The following is a 19820-nucleotide window of genomic DNA, read 5'->3' as shown; positions in this document are numbered from 1 at the left end:
GCCTGCCCTCCTCTCCCGTGACCATGCCTCCTTCCCTCCTGGCTGACTCCACACATCCACATGGGAAGGAGACAATGCCGTCTCTCCCAAAAGCTCCCCTAAGAATCCCAGAGTACCCCCCTTCTTCTCCCTAAAATGAATAGATGCATCTGCAACTTATATTTCTTGAAAAGTGGCAAATTACTTTTTAAATCCACTTCCATCATCTGATCTCCACGTTGCTTCTCACAGATGTGTTTGGAGGTGGGGAAGGTGGAGAGGAGACATTTGTTTCCTGTTTCAGCCCAGATTGGAGAATGGGTGAAAGTAAAATATTTATGTTCTTTGTACCCAGCTTGTTTTTCCTGTTTTCCTTCAAAACAAGAGGTCAGAGCCCTTATGAATGAACAGATTGTTGACTTCTATGTCTGAAAACACTCAAAATATCTCCTATTAAGGCCCCTGTTCCACTTCCTTTGTTCTGCCTGGGCGGATGAAGCTGTCTGTGTTCCAGAAACAGAATTTCAAATTAGATTATTTGAATGAAATCAGCAGCTGTTGATTCAGAAGAAATGAAGAGTTGGTGTCATCAGATCCTTGAGCAAGAAGAGACCTCAGGAAAACATCTGGCGCAGGCTCCTGCATAAGCCAGTGGGTGCCCTGGCTAGACGCAACGGAACAGATGATTTGCATTCTCTTACTGAAGGTCCCCAGGGACAAGATGCCACATCTCCCAAGCCGCCCATTGCTGACTGGCCATTTATAGAAACATTTGTTTGAGTTGAGCTCCTGCTTGCAGGAATTAATAGCTTTCAGGGAATATTGTTTGGGTGGGGAGAGAGAGAGAGAGAGAGAGAGTTTCTACTCAATTCCTGGAAATGGCTTGAGAGCCACAGAAAAGCCTTAGCACAAGGGGCCCTAGGAGTGAGTCGAGGAACCTGCTGGTACCTCTCCGAAGTGTTCCCATCTAGGATTTCAGATGCAGCCCTTGTGGAGGTTAACTTTATGTGTCAACTTGATTGGGCCGAGATATTGGCCAAATATTATTCTGAATGTATCTGTGACAGTGTTTTTGGATGAGATTAGCATTCAAATTAGTAGATTTGAGTAGAGCAGATGAGCTCCATAATGCAGGTGGGCCTTATCCAATTAGGTGAAGGCTTAAATAGAACAAAAGATTTAGCTCCTCCGAGCAGGAGGGAAGTTTGCTGGCAGAGGGTCTTTGGACTTGAACTGCAACATCGTCGGCTCTTCCTAGCTCACTGACAGCTTGCCTTTTGACTCAAACTGCAACTCTTTTCGGAGTCTCCATCCCGCCAGACTCCTCCATCAGATTTTGGACTTGCCAAATCTTCACCATTGCCTGAGCCAATTCCTTAAAAAAAAAAAAAAAAAAAAAATATATATATATATATATATATATATATATATATGCACATCCTATCAGTTCTTTTTCTCTGGAGAATCCTGACTAAAACTCCAAGAAGTGGCCCCCAAAAGAGCACAGGGTTGGAAGATTCCAAAACAACAGAACTATAGTATTCTATATACTCTAGAAATAAATCTTTTGATTTCTTTTTGATTTATTTTTCTGTTTCGCTCTCAGCATGTTCCTGCTTTTCTAATATTTGAAGATACATCACACCTGCAGAATTATGCACTCCATTCTACCTTCAGGACATCCTGCCAGCATCTGCACTCAGCCACCAACTAGGAGACCCAGTGCCCATCTCCTGCCAGAACTGCTGCTTTGGGCGGTCTTCTCATTTGCTTCTCCTCATTATTTCTCCATGTGGTAGCCAAAGTTTCTTTCTAAAATGCAAATCTAATCACGCCTGAGCTAGAGCAGACCACTGGAGCCTGGTTTGAGGATGGAAGGACCCTGACTTGGACTCTGTTTTGGTTGCTTTTACTCTGGTTTACTCCAAAGCTGCTAAGAGACCACAAATAGACCATGTGCTCCTCATCACTTCCCTGGTTTTATCTCAAATATCTAGAACCTACCTCTCAGCTCCACAATATGTCTCTGTCTACTTGGTTCACTGTGTTATACTCAGCTAGTTTTTCCCAGAACTTACTGAGTCTCTTCCTACCTTAGGGATGTGGATATGTTCTGTCATCTGTGTAGACCATTGCTCATCTCTCTCCATACCTACCCACGAGCCCCTCCAGGAGCTGGTGATTATTTACTGAGAGTTGAGAGAGAGAGAGAGAGAGAGAGAGAGAGAGGTGATGAGCTCAAGACAAGTTTAGATTTCTATTCTAGAGTCTTGTAACAACACATACTTTTTCTTCCTTGTTCTTATGATATTTTCAATTGTGTGTTTCTTTGTACCACTTATTTGTTCTATATCTTTCCACATAGAGAGCCTGTGACCATTTCTGGGTTAATTTTTCCTGGATTCCTGGGCTCAGCAGGATGCACACCATATAATTAATTTTCAGTTAATAAGGACTTGGATGGATGAAAGATCACCCAGCTTGTGGGTCTCTCTGGGCTTTGTCACCATCATGACCAAATACATCAGGATCTTTCTATGAAATTTTAATTTTTGCTTTTTTAAAATTAAAATCTAAAAATTATTTTCACCAGCAAGAGAAGAAAACACAGTCTCAATTTTGCTGGGAAGTGGTAGACATTTGCCATTCTTTTTGGCTGCCTTGCTTTGCCTTTCCTACACTTGGAAAATTTCCTACCTCTGTGAATCTTAACAGCAAGCAGAGTTACTTCCCATTACAAAAGATGAGAATTCCAGATATTTGTATCACCTAGGCTTTGCCAATCAGATGTTCTCTCCTTTTTTAGAATTGAGAGCGAGTGATGCACAAAAAGGATGAGGTGAGTATTCTCCAAGGCCATGGTGACCATGGTAAACTTGAGTTCCTGAGGCAGTGAGATGGCTGCTACTAGTGACATGCATCCAGGACTAGTTATTTGATGGTGCCAACTTCAGCATCTAATTCTCAGCAATAACGTCCTCACTGGAGCCAAGAACTGGAAAGGCGATACATGGGAGAAGACTGCTGAATCAGAGGACCCTGGGCCACTGAACCCCCATAAGCTTCCCTGACAGCCAAAAGCCCACATTCCCTCTCTCATGGAGTGGACTCTTGCCTTCTTGAAGATACTGTAATTGTCTTGACCAACAACCACTGTGAGAGTCAGCCAGGCCCGAGTATGCCCTTCTTTTCTCCAGACCTTTCACGAGACTCAAAACCTAGTTTGTCCATGGCGGGAACAATTATAAACTAACATACTGAAAGAACTGCAAGGTTGCATTTATTTGTATCAGAAAAATATTATATCACAACTCTAATCTTGGATATTTAAACCAGGACCCAGAGAGCGACATAAAATACAGAAACACTTATGCATCAGTTTAAAAGCATACAAATATTCCGTATATTGTCTGGTAATTTTAAAACATGGTAAATGCCTAAAGAATAGTAAGCAATTGATAGTCACAAAACTAAGGGTAGGGATAATGTCCAGGGATGAGAAAACGGGAAGGGTGCTAGATCCTGAGGTTCTCGTACAAGCTGGGGAGAACACAATACTGAACAGGCTGATTTATTTTCCCAGTATGAGCGCTGGTACCAGAGATTTTGATTTCAATGTGCTAGGTCAAACTTCTGAAAATTGTGATTGTTTGATGAGTTGGTTGAATAGACCCTGACCCAATAATTCACCAGAGGCCCAGCCTTCTTTTGACTACTATAGAGGAAGAAATCTAAGACTAGGAAGATTCAAATACTGGAGTGGATTTCCCATTCACTCACTCACTCCCAAATTATTTTCTACACGAGGGCTCAGAACACTCCCTTTGCCAAGGCATTAAGAGATTATTTGGGCCGGGCACAATGGCTCATGCCTGTAATCCTAGCACTTTGGGGGGCCAAGGTGGGCAGATCATGAGGTCAGGAGATCGAGACCATCCTGGCCAACATGGTGAAACCCTGTCTCTACAAAAAATACAAAAATTAGCTGGGTGTGGTGGCGGGCACCTGTAGTCCCAGCTACTCCAGAGGCTGAGACACAAGAATTGCTTGAACCCAGGAGGTGGAGGTTGCAGTGAGCCAAGATCATGCCACTGCACTCCAGCCTGGCAACAGAGTGAGACTCTGTCAAAAAAAAGAAAAAAAAGAAAGAAAGAAAGAAAAAAGAAATAAATTCTTTGTTGAAGGAAGCACCTGAATCTTTAAAAAGAATGGTGACAACAACAGTTGTCTTTAGGCTGAAGATGCAGAAGTTGCTACCATTAAATTATGCTATCTAATTTAAATATGAATTCTAGGGTCCTGGGAGGCAGAGGACCTGAATACCATCCAGGCAAAGTGAATGTGCAAAGTGGATGTACTTACAACCTAGGCACCAAAAATATAACCAAATACTCTGATGTAAATAAATCATCAGGGGCAGATAACTGATACTGGGAACTCTAAGAACAAAATAGGCAGCATTTACAGATTGGCAAAGTGAATAAAGGGTCCAGACCAATTGATGTGCTGGATTCAGGAGATCCATCTCACATGCAAAGACACACATAGGCTCAAAATAAAGGGATGGAGGAAAACTTACCAAGCAAATGGGAAGAAAAGAAAGCAGGGGTTGCAAACCTAGTCTCTGACAAAACAGACTTTAAACCAACAAAGATAAAAAAGACAAAGGGCATTACACGATAGTAAAGGAAACTATTCCATAAGAAGAGCTAACTATTCCAAATATATATGCATCCAATACAGGTGCACCCAGATTCATAAAACAAGTTCTTAGAGACCTACAAAGAGACTTAGACTCCCACACAATAATAGTGGGAGACTTTAACACCCCACTGTCAGTATTAGACAGATCAGCAAGACAGAAATTAACAAGGATATTTAGGACTTGAACTCAGCTTTGGATCAAGTGGACCTAATAGATATCTACAGAACTTTCCACCCCAAATCAACAGCATATACATTCTTCTCAGTGCCACATGGCACTTATTCTAAAATTGACCACATAATTGGAAGTAAAACACTTCTCAGCAAATGCAAACGAACTGAAATCATAACACTCTCTCAGACCACACTGCAATCGAATTAGAACTCAGGATTAAGAAACTCAAAACCACACAATTACATGGAAATTGAACAACCTGCTCCTGGGTGACTCCTAGGTAAATAATGAAATTAAGGCAGAAATCAAGAAGTTATTTGAAACTAATGAGAACAAAGAAACAACACACCAGAATCTCTGGGACACAGCTAAAGCAGCGTTAAGAAGTAAATTTATAGAACTAAATGGGCCCATATCAGAAAGTTAGAAAGATCTCAAATTGACACCCTAATATCACAATTAAAAGAGCGGAGACGCAAGAACAAACTAATCCAAAAGCTAGCAGAAACCAAGAAATAACTAAGATCAAAGCAGAATTGAAGGAGATAGAGACACAAAAAACCCTCCAAAATATCAATGAATCCAGGAGCTAGTTTTTTGAAAAAAATTAACAAAATAGATAGACTGCTAGCTAGACTAATAAAGGAGAAAAGAGAGAAGAATCAAATAGACACAATAAAAAATGATAAAGGGGATATCACCCCTGACCCCTTAGAAATACAAACTATCATCAAAGAATACTATAAACACCTCTACACAAATAAACTAGAAAATCTAGAAGAAATGGATAAATTCCTGGACCCATACACCCTCCCAAGACTAAACCAGGAAGAAGTCAAATCCCTGAATAGACCAATAACAAGTTCTGAAATTGAGACAGTAATTAATAGCCTACCAACCAAAAAGAGTCCAGGATGAGACGGATTCACAGCCGAATTCTACCAGAGGTACAAAGAGTAGCTGGTACCATTCCTTCTGAAATTATTCTAAACAATTGAAAAGGAGGGACTCATCCCTAACTCATTTTATGTGACCAGCATCATCCTGATTACAAATCTGGCAGAGATACAACTGAAAAAGAAAACTTCAGGCCAATATCCCCTATGAACATTGATGCAAAAATTCTCAATAAAATACTGGCTAATTGAATCCAGCTGCACATCAAAAAACAGCCACCAAAATCAAGTCGTCTTCATCCCTGGGATGCAAGGCTGGTTCAACATAGGCACATCAATCACATAAACAGAACCAAAGACAAAAACCTCGTGATTATCTCAACTGATGCAGAAAAGGCCTTTGATAAAATTCAACATCGCTTCATGTTAAAAACTCTTAATAAACTAGGTATTGATGGAACATATCTCAAAATAATAAGAACTATTTATGACAAACCCACAGCCAATATCATATCATGGATATTTTATTCTCTTTGTAGCAATTGTAAATGGGCAATATCATACTGAATGGGCAAAAGCTGGAAGCATTCTCTTTGAAAACCAGTACAAGACAAGGATGCCCTCTCTCACCACTCCTATTCAGCGTAGTATTGGAAGTTCTGGCCAGGACAGTCAGGCAAGAGAAAGAAATAAAAGTATTCAAATAGGAAGAGAGGAAGTCAAATTGTCTCTGTTTACAGACAACATGATTTTATATTTAGAAAACCCCATCGTCTCAGCCCCAAAACTCCTTAAGCTGATAAGCAACTTCAACGAACTCTCAGGATACAAAATCAGTGTGCAAAAATCACAAGCATTCCTTTACACCAACAATAGACAAGCAGAGAGCCAAATCATGAATGAACTCCCATTCACAATTGCTACCAGAAGAATAAAATACCTAGGAATTCAGCTATCAAGGGACGTGAAAAACCTTTTCAAGGGGAACTAAAACCACTGATCAAGGAAATAAGAGAGGACACAAACAAATGGAAAAACATTCCATCCTCGTACATAGGAAGAATCAATATCATGAAAATGACCATACTGCCCAAAGTAATTTATAGATTCAATGCTATTCCCATCAAACTACCATTGACATTCTTCACAGAATTAGAACAAACTACTTTAAATTTCATATGGAATCCAAGAAGACCCTGTATGGCAAAAACAATTCTAAGCAAAAAGAACAAAGACGGAGGCATCAAGCTACCTGACTTCGAACTATACTACAAGGCTACAGTAACCAAAACAGCATGGTACTGGTACCAAAACAGACACATAGATCAATGGAACAGAACAGAGACCTCAGAAATAACACTACACATCTACAATTATCTAATATTCAACAAACTTGACACAAACAGGCAATGTGGAAAGGATCTCCTATTCAATAAATAGTGCTGGGAAAACTGGCTAGCCATATGCAGAAAACTAAAACTCGACCCCTTCCTTACACCTTATAGAAAAATTAACTCACGTTGGATTAAAGACCTAAATGTAAAACCCAAAACCATAAAAACCCTAGAATAAAACCTAGGCAATACCATTCAGGACATAGGCATGGGCAAAGACTTCATGAAAAAATGCCCCAAACAATTGCAACAAAAGCCAAAATTGACAAATGAGATCCAATTAAACTAAAGAGCTTCTGAACAGCAAAAGAAAGTATCATCAGAGTGAACAGACAACCTACAGAATGGGAGAAATTTTTCTGCAATCTACCCATCTGACAAAAGTCTAGTATCTAGAATTTACAAGGAACTTAAACAAATTTACAAGAAAAAAAGCAAACAACCCCATCAAAAAGTGGGCAAAGGATAAGAACAGGCACTTCTCAAAAAAGATGTTTAAGCAGCCAGAAACATATGAAAAAAAGCTCAACATTACTGATCATTAGAGAAATGGAACTCAAAACCACAATGAGATACCATCTCACATCAGTCAGAATGGTGATTATGAAAAAGTCAAGAAACAATAGATGCTCTCAAGGCTGTGAAGAAATAGGAATGCTTTTACACTGTTGGTGGAAGTGTAAATGGGTTCAATCATTGTGGAAGACAGTATGGGGATTCTTCAAGGATCTAGAACCAGAAATACCATTTTACCCAGCAATCTAATTAATGGGTATATACCCAAAGGAATATAAATCATTCTACTATAAAGACACATGAACACGTATGTTTATTGCAGCACTATTTACAATAGCAAAGTCATGGAACCAACCCAAATGCCCATCAGTGATAGGCATAAAGAAAATGTGGTACATATATACCATAGAATACTGTGCAGCCATAAAAAGGAATATCATGTCCTTTGCAGGGACATAGATGAAGCTGGAAGCTATCATCCTCAGCAAACTAACACAGGAACAGAAAACCAAACACCAAATGTTCTCACTCATGAGTGGGAGTTGAACAATGAGAACACACGGACACAGGGAAGGGAACAACACACACCAGGGCCTGTTGCAGAGTGGGGAGCGAAAGGAGGGAACTTAGAGGTTGGGTCAATAGGTACACTAAACCACCGTGATACACGTATACTTATGTAACAAACCTGCACGTTCTGCACATGTATCCCAGAACTTAAAGTAATTTAAAAAAAAAAAAAGAAAAAAGAGAAAAAATAATAATAGATTTACTTTCTTCAAAATATGGCTATGATAAAAATGTAGTTTCATAAAAATGTGGCTTCATAAAAATGCTCCAAAAAAAGCCTGTTCAACTGGTACAGCCCTGATGAACAGAACTTAAAATGAGCCATAATGATGCAGGCGTTCACCAAATTCTCTGAACTAAGTCAGTCCATAGAGCCAGGATCTCTTGAATTAGGAGCTAGCTACACACCCTGGAGAATCAATCTGGGGATAACCTCACAAATGTGTATCATCCTCCTAGCTCTCTCCAAAAAGAACCAGCAACCTTTTAGCAAGTTGTCTATGCATTGGGCAAAGGCAAGTGCTCAGACTCAGACTCAGGGATTGTTGGACATGGACCAAGCTCACAGTAATTCAGGGTTCATGTTAGACTGGGGGATCATGAGTGTCACATGACGCATGGAATTTTGCACTAATCCCTGTTCTGAAGGTAGGTCCAGGGGCACCTTGAACCAACGTAATTTCTGAGCACATTTCTAGTTGGAAGAAATACAGCAAAATCCCCACAATGCCTTTCTGATCCATGAAATAAGACCTACAGTTGGCCGGGTGTGGTGGCTCATGCCTGTAGTCCCAGCACTTTGGGAGGCCGAGGCGGGTGGATCACGAGGTCAGGAGATCAAGACCATCCTGGTTAACACAGTGAAACCCCATCTCTACTAAAAGTACAAAAAATTAGCCGGGCGTGGTGGTGGGCGCCTGTAGTCCCAGCTACTCGGGAGGCTGAGGCAGGAGAATGGTGTGAACCCAGGAGGCGGAGCTTGCAGTGAGCCGAGATCACGCCACTGCACTCTGGCCTGGGCAAAAGAGCGAGACTCCGTCTCAAAAAAAAATAAAAATAAAAAAAGACCTACAGTTATAGAAAGGGCCAAGTAGAATCAAGTAACCATTCACAAAGACATTTTGTGTTCCTTAAGCTACCAGAAAAAAACTATGACATTGGCTCAAGTGATGGATCTTGACCATCAAACAGGAACAATGATAAACAGTGAAGGGAAGGAGGGGAATGGGATTTAGGGGATCCCCTGGTGCCTACTAGTACTACTAAGCCCAATGGTAATAAAGAAACTAGAGCTGTTGTTGATGGGCAGTCCCACCAAGGCCTCAGATCCCTCGGGAATGAAGGGTTGAAATATGACCCCAAGTAAAGGATATTCCCAGCCACAGTGTTGGCCTAAGGCAGAGGGAACGTGGAGAGTGGAAGAGCGGAGTCGTAGACAGGAGCATTTGTCCCCACTGATGATTCCACTGAGCTACTCTTGTTAAAGTCACCAGTCACCTCCAAATTGCAAAGACAGTGGTGCTGCTATGGTTTGATCTTGTTTGAATTTCGGTGTATTTGACTCACTTTGTCTTACTTCCTCCTTGGAACACATCTCCTCTTGACTCCTGTGACCCTTCACTCTTCCAGATTTTTCCTGTCTCGCAGGAAGCTGTGGCTCAAACTCTTCTGTCAGCTCCTCACTCTTTGATTGACCTATAAGTTTTGGAGGGTCCCAGAAATTAGTAACACATTCTCCCTATTTGATGCCACCTTTTGTGAAAATAGATTTCTCTTCTTTCATTGGTGGTTTTCTTCCCTTGGCTTCCAACACAGCACATGCTCTTGGTCTCTCTGCTGCATCAGCGCCTGCTCCTTCTCACCTCCTTTGAGGTTTCTCTTCATCTACACAGCTTCTTTTTTTTTAACATTTTATTTTATAGTATAATGTTAAGTAACTAAGCAAGATACAGGATACTAGATGTTATATACTTTTATATGCAGCTTCTTAAAGCCAGAGAGCCAGAGAACTCAGACCTTGGTACTTTTCTCAAGAGTATCCACTCTCTATGCAGTCAGTTGGATGGTTTAAAATAACATCTACATGCCAATGAGTCCATATTTACATCTTCAGGCAAGACCCTCTCAGAAAGTCCAGATTCCAGCCCCAATGCAGGCTCAATGTGTGCACATTTGCAAATTCCGCCAGGATCCTTCACCCAAACTCCAGATTTAATATCCAAATGCTTGGTCCACAGCTCTGCAGGGAGATCCAACATCTCAAATTCAACATGTCCAAAATTTAACTCCAAATCCTGCTCCAACTTGCCTCAAGGAATGGCAACTCCATCCTTCCAGTTTCTCAGGCCACAAACCTTGGCCATCCTTGACTCCCTGCTTTCTCTCACCCCCCCACACACTCTCTTATGTTATCTTGTTGGCTCTCCTTTCAACATAGCTCCACATCTGGAGATGATAGACAAGCTTCTTTAGGACGTCTCATACAGAACAACTTTAGTATAGAAAATTTTATATAGAAAAATGTCTTTTTGTAGGAAATTAGAAAAAAATACATTTTCAAGCCAAAAACGTCTGTTTGAAGGCATCTGACAGCAACGGAGATAGCAGGGAAGTGTGGGACCACGATCCCAGAGACAGGTTCACTCCAGAAGGCAAGCCAGGGCTGTGGCCTGACTTTTCCACTTGAAGCATTTGCTGATTTGACAAAAGGAGGCAGAGAGGCCAGGTGTGGTGGCTCACACCTATAATCCCAGCACTTTGAGAGGCTGAGGTGGGCAGATCACAAGGAGTTCGAGACCAGCCTGGCCAACATGGTAAAATCCCGTCTCTACTAAAAATACAAAAATTAGCTGGGCATGGTAGCAGGTGCCTGTAATCCCAGCTACTTGGGAGGCTGAGGCAGGAGAATCACTTGAAACCGGAAGGCAGAGGTTGCAGTGAGCCAAGATTGTGCTACTGCACTCCAAACTGGGCGAAAAGAGCAATACTCTGTATCAAAAAAAAAAAAAAAAAATGGGGTGGCAGAGAGACTAAGAAGATGAGTAGAGCTGTTTGCAGCTCCTGGGGCAGACAGTGGGTGTGAAAGATGCCCTGGCTGTCCAGGAGGGACCTGGCTGTCCAGGAGGAGGAGGTGTTCCAGCAAGCACGCTGGGTGTCAACTTCAGACCAGGAAGGGCTGCAGCCTGGGCGTAAGAGCCACCATCAGTAGACTGGCCTCCCCCAGACCTCCAAAAAGGAATGGGAGGAGGAACAACAGCAGCAACAGAACCATAAATCCTGACTTGCAAGGGCTTGGTTACAGCCTGATTAGGTCATCTCCCTCCCCACCTCCAGCAAGGAGAAAAACAGAGAAGGAGCCCCATGTAGTGCTGTGTTCTCTGTGCAGGCAGCTCCTGATTTATGAGCAGAAGTCTGGAGGTTGAAAAACCAGGAAGAAAGTGGTGTTTAGGAAGCTGAGAGGCTAACAGAGCGCTTGGTAATCTCACAGTGTTAGGGGAACAAAATTAAAATTCGGGACCTTTCCATCACAGGAAGCCCTGTTAAACACCTCCTATTTTCAGTGTCCTATTGCATTAAACAAAATGCAAGAATTAAATAAAAACCAAGAGAAAAACAGACAGTAGAAACAAGCCCACAGTGATTCACAGATGTTGAGATTTCAGACACAGACCTTAAAGTAACTGTGATTAATATGTTCAGGAAATTTAAGAACAAGATATAGAATGTTGGCGGAGAAATGGAAACTGTGAAAATAAATCAAAATGAAATTCTAGAACTTAAAAAAATAAACATCCACATATTAAGCACTTATAAAGACAAATGCAATGAAAAATGGGCCGAAGGTTTTAAATGGGCACTTCACAAATGAGGATATTCAAATTGGTCCATTAAACACGAAAAGATGCTCAACCTCATTAATCATCCAGGGAATGAAAATTAAAATCATGAGAGGATACCACTATAAACTGACCAGAATAGCTAAAATTAAAAAGTCACAATACCAAGTAGGGAGAAACTGAAAACTTCTTAGCCTGTTGGTGGAAGCATAAAATGGTGCAACCACTTGGGAAAAGTGTTGGATAGTATCTTCTGAAGTTGAAATGTGCGTATCCGGTGGCCCAGAAATTCCACTGCTAGGTGTACATGAAACGAGTGTATACTTTAACGGCCTTACTCATAGTGGCCAAAATAAGAATCAACCCAAATCTCCAATGCAAAGTGCATCGTGGTATATTTGAACAACGCAAAGCTATACAGCAACAAAAACGAGTAAATTCTTGCTACAATTGACAACTGGACGAATCACTTACCATGTTGAACAAAAAAAGTCACTTGTGGGAAAATACGTATTGTATGATTCCATTATACAAATTATAAAAGAGGCATACCCTACTCTATGGCTTAGAACTTGAGATACTGGTTACCCTCAGAATCCAGATGATGGGTTGAGGCTGGGAAGGTGTGCTGGAGAGCTGGGTTGGGCACACGTGGACATGTTCAATTCCTGATAATTCCTTGAGCTGTGTGCCTATGGTTTGTGCACTATTCTGTATGAACAAACATTTAAGTAGAAACTGTGTATTTGAAACAACACCACATCTCTAGGAGATGCACGCTCATCACCTCCATTGCTGCCGCTGTCTCAAGCCCCCGTTGCCTCCCACCTGGACTTCTGTAGCAACCTCTGGATGGTCTCTCTGCTTCCACCTTGCCCACCTGCTGTGATACTCATAACAGAGCAACCAGAGGGATCCTTCTCAAACCCACATCAAATCCTGCAGGACTGGGGCTTTCCTGCCTCTCTGACCCCACCTCCTGCCACTCTTCCCCTCCCCTGCTCTACACCTGCCGGTCACTCTCTTTCTCTTCCTTGAAGACATCATGCTCATTCTTGCTGCAGCTCATCTGCAGGAGCTGCTTCTGCTACCTGGAATGTTCTTTGCCCTGGTTGCCCCTTGGTGGCATCTGGGTCCCAGAGTCCTCAGCTAAAATATCTTGGGAGTCCTGCCTTGACCTCCCAGCTGAGGTGGCCACCCCTTATCTCAAGTCATTTTGATTCTCTGCACTGACCTTTCCCTTCCTAATGTATTTTCTTCCTTCCTCCCTCCTGCCCTTCTCCCTCCCTCCCTTCCTATCTGCTCGCTAGGATGAAACCTACAAGAGAGCAGACTTTGTCTGTCTTATTCCTGCAGCATCCTGAGCATCTCAAACAGTGTTTTGCATATATATGAACATAATAATTATGTGAAATGAATAAAATACATTTGGAAAATGCTGCCCACTATTTATCTCTCTTGGAGAGCCTTAATTTACATTAGCATATTAATGATTCTGAGAAGTCCTACAGTTAAAAAAAAAAAAAAAGAAAGAAAAAGAAACCTGCTTACCTTTCACTCAGTATTTCCCAACCTTTTTTGAACACAAGACACTATTTTTGCATTACATCTATTGACGTCCGCTTTTGGCAATGCCACCTCCAAGGGTTTGCAGCCATCGCTGTTGGGGCCTCCCTTGTGGCAGACACCCATCTGGATGAGCATTATACCCACATTATCTCCATCGCCATGACAACCAGAAAGGCCAGGCATTATTATCCTCATTTTAAGGAAATGAGGTGTGCTACATTGAAGTGGCTCCTTGTGCGATGTGGGCAACACACATATGAAGCTGGGGTGTGACTGCACTTCTGTCTCACTCCAAAACCATGCTCTTGACCTCTTGTTTGGGTAAACACGATGGCAAAGCTTATCACCATGCAGAGCGTGACGTCCCACAGCAGTCTCCACCTGCTTGGGAGCAGGGGATGAATGCACACCCGCAAGTGGGTTGATCATTCAGCTTCTTGGAGAAGGTGAGACCCCCCCACTTCATTTTGTATTTCTGCACCCTCATGATATGCTCCAAGTCATCACCATGGGACACATTCTCAAGCACATTTTCATAGCCACGAAATTGTGTTTTATGAAATCCTTGGCCAAACAGACAGAAAAAGATGGCAAAAGTTAACAAATTTCCAATCAACACAAGGGGATAATGTATTCAGCCTCTGCTTCATGCCAGGAATGCCAGGAATTAGGAGCAATTTCAGACCCTCCTTTCTCTAGGGCTCTAATCCTTGCATTGCATCAGCTTTTGTTCATCTTCTGGTCCCTTTGGTGTTTGTCCAGGACAGAGCGGCTCTGAAAAACGCCCACCACTTTTAGGTACCATTGCCTAGGGGAAGTCCACCTGGTGGTAAAAATGAGATTGCTCAATGGATGCTGGAGTTCACTGGCAGCAAAAGAGGTCCCTTCCTTTCCCCCTTTAGGCCTGCTCATCTGCAGGAATATGGTCATGAGTAAGCTTTCCTCTTCATTGTCTCATGAAACCCCTGGAGTCCGAGATGATGGACAGACAGCAGAAATTACAAAATACTTCAAGAGCCAAAATACTTGAAAACCACGGAAATTCTAACCAGAAACTCACACACCCCAAGCTCCCTTGTCTAGGTGAACTGGAAGAAGGCCCCCTAGTCAGGGTTTCCCAAGCTCAGCACCATTGACATTGAGGCCAGATGATACCTTGCAGGGGCGGGGATTGCCATGTATAGTGTAGAATGTTCAGTAGCATCCCCAGTCCCTACCCACTATGCCAGGACCTCCCCCATTCCTTTAATTTGTAACAACAAGAAATGTCTCCGGATATTGCCAAGTTTCTCCGGGGTGGGGGCGGGCAAGATTACTCCTATTGAGAACGAATAATCTAGATTAGTGAAAAGTCTAAAATAGAGCGTGTTTTAAAAGAAATAGAGATTAATTTGTCAAATAGCATACTGAATCACCAAAACTAAGTGTTTCCCCTGGGGCGCTTATTTTACTAAAACATACTCATTTTTTCAATCAGCAAATATCTTTGAGCATTAAGCACCAGGCTGGTCCCAGCCTACATGAGGTCCCCGCCTTTCAATCTAGCAGAAAAGCAGATAAGACAGATTGGTAATTGGCAAGTCAATTATAGATCACATAAATGGGGTCCTCCGGTCCTTGGAAATCAGCTGCTAACTACAAGAAGTTCAGCCTCCCTCCTGCAATCTTGTTTGCATTATAAATTTGTTTAGCTAAACCTTCCATTCACTGTATCTCCGAATTATCATAAATTTCAGATTAGTGGCATGCATACGAATGAGTGTTTGCCAGTTTCCAAGCAAAATGAGCTGAGAGGAGGCCTTTGAGGGGCTGAGAGCTCATCTGACATCCATGGTGGCCTTCCTAAGGACCCTCTTCTGGCAGATGCAGGGAGGAAAATCAGAACAGTTCCTTCGGGGTCTGAGGTTTAAAATAAAAATGGCTGAGGGGCTTGACATTTCAAGCCAATGTCAACATTTCTGCTCTCCCTATGGCTTATTAACAAGGCACCGTGTCCTACTTTTTAAATCAATTTCAAAAGAAGTTCACCAGCTTGTATGCTAGGGAAGGGCGTGTAAGGAAATGGGGGTAGTTGTATTTTTCCAAAAAAATTTGTTTCGGAGGGAAAAAAAGGTAATTTAGTTGTGTTGGCCAAAAAAAAAAAGAAAAGAAAAGAAAGAAAACCAAGCCAAGTAGTTTGGAAAAGTAGTTTCAAATACCCTCTCCAAACGGAACTGGGGTCATCCATTAGAAAAGAGATCTCTCACTCACTCCCATCACCACAACGATTTCGGTGTAGAGGCATCAGCCCTGGTAAGCGAGTAGCTCTGGCCTCCCTCTGTTACCAATCAGTCTCCCAGCCAACTGGCTTTCATTGTAGGACCCACCTCCTGGTCTTCACTGCAACTTTCTCCAGCACCAGGTCAGACCTAAAAGCATCAAATAGCAGCACAGACAAAAATCAATATTGTTGGTCAAACTGCGAAAAGTGTCACAGGGTCAGAAGTCGTGTGCATCCATGTACATGCAATGTGTCTTCTTTTGCTACCCTGCCATCCATCATGAAATGCTCTTGAGGTGCTCGTACCAAAAGGAACTGACATCCAAATATAAGAGATTACAAAAGGTGGAAGAAGATAACATTCTGGAATGCTTGCATACCTGCCTTTCCAGTGGGTCCTTCCTATGCTCTCATCCTGCGGAAGGCTCTGTGAGCTCTTGTCTCCACTGGTTGGCATGAAGGTCATGTTCCTGAGAAGTACCCTGGTGAGTGGCAAAAACTGAAATTGACATCAAGATCCCATGGAAAACAGGGAATGAGAAGAAAATACAAAAGTGCTGTCCTTCCTACTGAGTTTTCCGCTGTAAAACTTGTCGAGCAGGCTGGGGTGGGGCGTATCAAAATCTCCAACGGGTGGCTGGTGAGGGACAAGGAAATATTCTCTTTAAAGTCCTCCTACCCCAAGTTCTATGCTGGCCTGGCACAGAGGCCCGTGCTCTTCTTCACCTGCACAAGAGCCACTGCAGTGATAAGGATGATGGTTACTGTTCAACATGGATCCTGCTTATGGTTAGAGGCTGAGAACTGCTGTCAGATTCTTGCATTGCTTAAAAATGCCCCACGGAGGCCCCAACAGTGCAGCTGCAATTCTGACAAGTGCTTTTATTTTATCTTCCAGTGACAGATCTTCTTTGTCTTTGCTTGTTCACTTGCAGCCATTTTTGAGCATTAAAAGCTATTTGATGCTTTTAGGTCTGATCTGGTGCTGGAGAAAGTTGCAGTGAAGACCAGGAGGTGGGTCCCACAATGAAATACAGAGAGTAAAATACATGTTTTTATGCACCCAAATGATTTTCGAGGCACAGTATTAGAAGAATAACTAATTCCTATTGCCTGCATGCACCAAGCATTGACAAAGTGTTTCTTAGATATTATGAATGAAGGATCATGCAGTTAATCTCATTAACTCCCAAGTTTCCCAAACAGCACCATAGTAACCTGTGGATCAAGCAAGGCCAAGTTCATTGCTCAGTGCAGTGGGGAGAACTCCACCTTGACAGAGGTCACAGGGAGGTGAAGGGGGAACGCATATAGATTTTGGGGGTCTGGGTTTGGGTAGCTCGAGATGGGTTTTTCAATACACAGATCTGATTGGGATGTTTGCCATATAATGGTTTAGGATCGGTGGACATAGCCAGGCAAGCGTCTTGGATGAAATTTTGATGAGTAAACAATCATCTGATAAATAATTGGGTTTTCCCGGTGTATTAGTCTGTTTTCATACTGCTGATAAAGACATACCTGAGACTGAGTAACTTATAAAGAAAAAGAGGTCTAATGGACTCACAGTTCCATGCGGCTGGGGAGCCCTCACAATCATGGTGGAAGGCAAAAGGCATGTCTCACATGGTGGCAGACAAGAGAGAAAATGAGAACCAAGCCAAAGGGGTTTCCCCTTATAAAACCATCAGGTCTCATGAGACTTATTCACTACCACAAGAACAGTATGAGGGAAACTGCCCCCGTGAGTTAATGGTCTCCCTCCAGATCCCTCCTATAACACGTGGGAATTATGGAAACTACAATGCAAGATGAGATTTGGGTGGGGACACAGCCAAACCATACCACCCAGTTAGCGATCTATTGTCCTGAGAATGGGGCTGCTTGCCCAGAGGAGCCAACTATGGTGCTGCCAAACAGATTTTGGGGTTGTCGCTGAGGGTAATAATTCTGTGGTTTACTCATTTACAGCCTTATCTTCCTGGCAAGAATTTCTCGGCACAAATAGTAAAGTTAGGTTGGGGCGAGTGCCTTCATTTCAGTCCTGATAAGTAAACTGCCCGGATGTAAGTGTCACAGTTCTGGACCCACCTCAACAATCTTCGGTGAGAGGTGCTAGTATTATCTTCCATTTTACAACTGGAAAAAATAAGGCACAGAGAGGTTGAGTAATTTGCCCAAAGCCACATAGCTAGTAAGTGGCAGAGTCAGGATTTGAACCTGGGCTTTCTGGCTCCCAAATCCATGCCCTACCTGACACTGCCGTTTGCAAAAACAAGTCCAAAAAAAGTACAGGAAAAGCAGAAGCCAGAGAAATCTGCAGAGAACGTCCATTAAGCCGTCCACAAAGCCTGTAGTTTAATTAGACATGACAGGGTGTCACTCAGTGAGTCAACTGACCAGTGCTGTCTCCTCTTCATGCCAGTGCAAGCCCCCCTCCCCCACCCCAAGGATCACAGGAGAGAAAGAACAATAAGAGAACTGAATTGAATCTCATAGAGGTAAAAAGAAATCTGCAGATTGAGATATTTTGAGCATTTGGATAAATAAACAGTGCCTTTATTTCAAAACCATGATTGGTAAGGTAGAATGCCATGTTGTGGCCTGAAAAAAAAAATTATCTCTTGTTGAAGCCCAACAAGAATGAACTTGGTAGTGCCATTTCTTCACTCTCCTCTACCTTCTGCAACCTCAGAGTTGAATCTTGTTTAGATTCATATACACGCAAAAAATGTACTCAAGAGAAGATTTACTGTGTTCTGAAGGTGTTGGTAGCTGGGGAGAGCTTAGTGGAGAACGTGAGCTCTCAAGGGTGGTGGGGGAGTGTGTGGGTGGTGAGCAGCTGGTCTGTTCCGACAAGGAAGTTGCTGTTTGCAGCAGGAGAGGGAAATAGGATACAAGGCGAGGGACAACAACCTGGGTCTGATCCAAGAGGCAATGGGGAGCCACTGAAGGTTCTTGAGCAAGGGAGATGCATGGCAAGGCAGGCTGAGGCTCACAACACAGAAAAACAACGAAGTCAGTGAGTTTAGAGACTACCAACAGATCTGATTTATGTGACTTGCTAAACTGTGTTTCACTAAGAGGCAGCGAATCTCTGGTAAATGATTAGGAAAATAGAATTTTAACTCAGACCCATTGGGAAAATAGTTAAACATTATCTCTGCTATGTTCTCACCTCCATATGGGAGCACGTCCATCTATGATCTCCCTGGAAGGAGGAATTTACTGAGCGAGGGGCCTTGTCATCAAATACAATCTTATGCTGGTGTGTTCAAGGAATGTTACCTCTCCCATATATAAGATCAATTCTACTCTATATTCAAAAGCCCTTAAACGTGAGAGGAGCAATCTGTCTTCGTTTACGGCTGTGGGAGGTGGAAAGGAAACCTGCCATATTAAATAACCCAGTGGAGAGGCAGCGAAGGTCATCATCAGGAGGGGCATCCCCTTCCTGAACCAAGTCAGCAGCAGCTGCCAGAGCCACAGCGAGGGCGGAGATGAGGAGCCCCCCGCAGGCCTGGCTGCAGATCCTTGCAGCCTCTGTGTCAGGTGTCAATGCGAGGCAGGATGCTGGGGCTGGTCTGAGGGGTGTGATGGGCTGCTCTGTGTCCCCAAAATTCACATATTGAAGTCCTAACCCATAGTACATCAGAACATGAGTGTATGTGGAGATGGGGTCTTTACAGAGGTCATCAAGTAAAGGCGAGGTCACGAGAGTGGGCCATAACCCAATCAATGGACATCCTTATTAAACAGACACACAGAGGGGCGAACCTGTGAGGACCCAGAGAGAAGATGGCATTTACAAGCCAAGGAGAGAGGCCTCAGGAGGAACCAGCCCTGTTGACTGACACGTTGATCTTGGACTTCCAGAGTTCAGAACTGTGAGACTGTCCATTTCGTTGTTTAAGCCGCCCA

At 42.8% G+C, this 19820-nt stretch overlaps 1 long non-coding RNA gene across 1 annotated transcript; it reads right to left on the bottom strand.

The window, feature by feature from the left end:
* Nucleotides 1-1544: 1544 nt before the first annotated feature.
* On the bottom strand, nt 1545-13764 carry LINC01646 (long intergenic non-protein coding RNA 1646). Its single transcript, NR_147025.1, has 5 exons — nt 13622-13764; nt 12659-12781; nt 2677-2974; nt 2073-2168; nt 1545-1912 (listed from the first exon to the last, which is right to left on the bottom strand). It is a non-coding gene; the product is annotated as a long intergenic non-protein coding RNA 1646 (long non-coding RNA).
* Between the last annotated feature and the right edge of the window lie 6056 nt (nt 13765-19820).

The sequence above is a fragment of the Homo sapiens genome, chromosome 1 (genome assembly GCF_000001405.40).
Source record: "Homo sapiens chromosome 1, GRCh38.p14 Primary Assembly".
In the NCBI taxonomy this organism is placed as follows: domain Eukaryota; kingdom Metazoa; phylum Chordata; class Mammalia; order Primates; family Hominidae; genus Homo; species Homo sapiens.
This window is presented reverse-complemented; position numbering and strand designations above follow the sequence as displayed.